The 1,531-nt window shown below is 44.9% G+C and overlaps 1 annotated feature.

Moving 5' to 3' along the window:
- Positions 894-1,188: a silencer, noted in NCBI's record as "tiled region #9565; HepG2 Repressive non-DNase unmatched - State 13:Ctcf, and K562 Repressive non-DNase unmatched - State 13:Ctcf". NCBI's record gives its function as "represses a minimal TATA promoter and a strong SV40 promoter by Sharpr-MPRA in HepG2 and K562 cells {active_cell/tissue: HepG2 | K562}" and the evidence as "EXISTENCE:reporter gene assay evidence [ECO:0000049][PMID:27701403]".

Genomic DNA, 1,531 nt, shown 5'->3' with positions numbered 1-1,531 from the left:
ATAAAAGTATTTTACACACCAGTTACAGTATTATAATATTCTGTGTTTTTCTGTGTACTTACTATTACAACGTGAGTTTTGTACTTTCAGATGATTTGTTATAGCTCATGAATATCCTTTTTTTTTTTTCTGATTGAAGTACTCCCTGTAGCATTTCCTGTTGGAAAGGTTTTGTCTTCTCTGACTGTGTATTTTTCAATAGCCTGTCTTTGAGCTCACTAATTCTTTCCTCTGCTTCATCCATTCTGCCATTAAAGGACTCTGATGTATTCTTCAGTGTGTCAATGCATTTTTCAGCTCCAGAATTTCTGCTTTATTCCTTTAAATTATTTCAATCTCTTCGTTAAATTTTTCCAATATGAATTCTGAATTCCTTCTCTGTGTTATTTTGAATTTCTTTGAGTTTCCTCGGCATCGCTATTTTGAATTCTCTGTCTCAAAGGTCACTTATCTCTGTTTCTCCAGGATTTGTCCCTGGTGCCTTATTTAGTTCATTTGGTGAGGTCATGTTTTCCTGGATGGTCTTGATACTTGTGGATGTGCATCTGTGTCTTGGCATTGAAGAGTTATGTATTCATTGCAGTCAGTGCAATCTGGACTTGTTTTTTCTTTTTTTGAGACGGAGTCTTGCTCTGTCACCCAGGCTGGAGTGCAGTGGCGTGATCCTGGCTCACTGCAAGCTCCGCCTCCCAGGTTCACGCCATTCTGCTGCCTCAGCCTCGCAAGTAGTAGCTGAGACTACAGGTACCCTCCACCACGCCAGGCTAATTTTTTGTATTTTTAGTAGAGACAGGGTTTCAGTGTGTTAGCCAAGATGGTCTCGATCTCCTGACCTTGTGATCTGCCCGCCTGGACCTCCCAAAGTGCTGGGATTACAGGCGTGAGCCACCACACCCTGGCCAATCTGGACTTGTTTGTACTTGTCCTTCTTGGGAAGGCTTTCTAAGTATTTGAAAGCACTTGAGTGTTGTGATTTAAGCTTCATCGGCATTAGGGGGCACCCCAAGCTCAGTAGTGCTATGGTTCTTGCAGACTCATAGATACTACTTTGGTGGTCTTGGACAAGATCCACAAGAATTCTCTGGATTACCAGACCGAAACGCTTGTTCTCTCCCCTTACTTTCTCCCAAACGAATGGAGTTTCTCTCTCTCTCTACTGAGCTGCCTGGAGCTGTGGAGTGATATAAGTACCCCTGTGGCTACCACCACTACGACTGTGCTGGATCAGAGCTGAAGCCAGCACAGTACTGGGTCTCAGCCAAGGCCTGTGAGTGGTTACATCCAATACTGTAACCACTCCCTGGTTATAGTCTAGGTTCGCTCATGGCCCTGGGGCTCTACAATCAGCAGATGGCAAAGCCAGCCAGGCCTGTGTCATTCTTTCCAGGGTGGCAAGTGTCCCCAGGCCCCAGATGGGTCAAGAGGTGCTGTCCAGGAGCCAGGGACTAGAATCAAAGACCTTAGAAGTCCACCTGGTGTTCTAATGTAGTGTGGCTGAGCTGGCACTTAAACCACAAGATGCAGTCCTTTC

The sequence above is a fragment of the Homo sapiens genome, chromosome 4 (genome assembly GCF_000001405.40).
Source record: "Homo sapiens chromosome 4, GRCh38.p14 Primary Assembly".
NCBI classification, from domain to species: Eukaryota; Metazoa; Chordata; class Mammalia; order Primates; family Hominidae; genus Homo; species Homo sapiens.
This window is presented reverse-complemented; position numbering and strand designations above follow the sequence as displayed.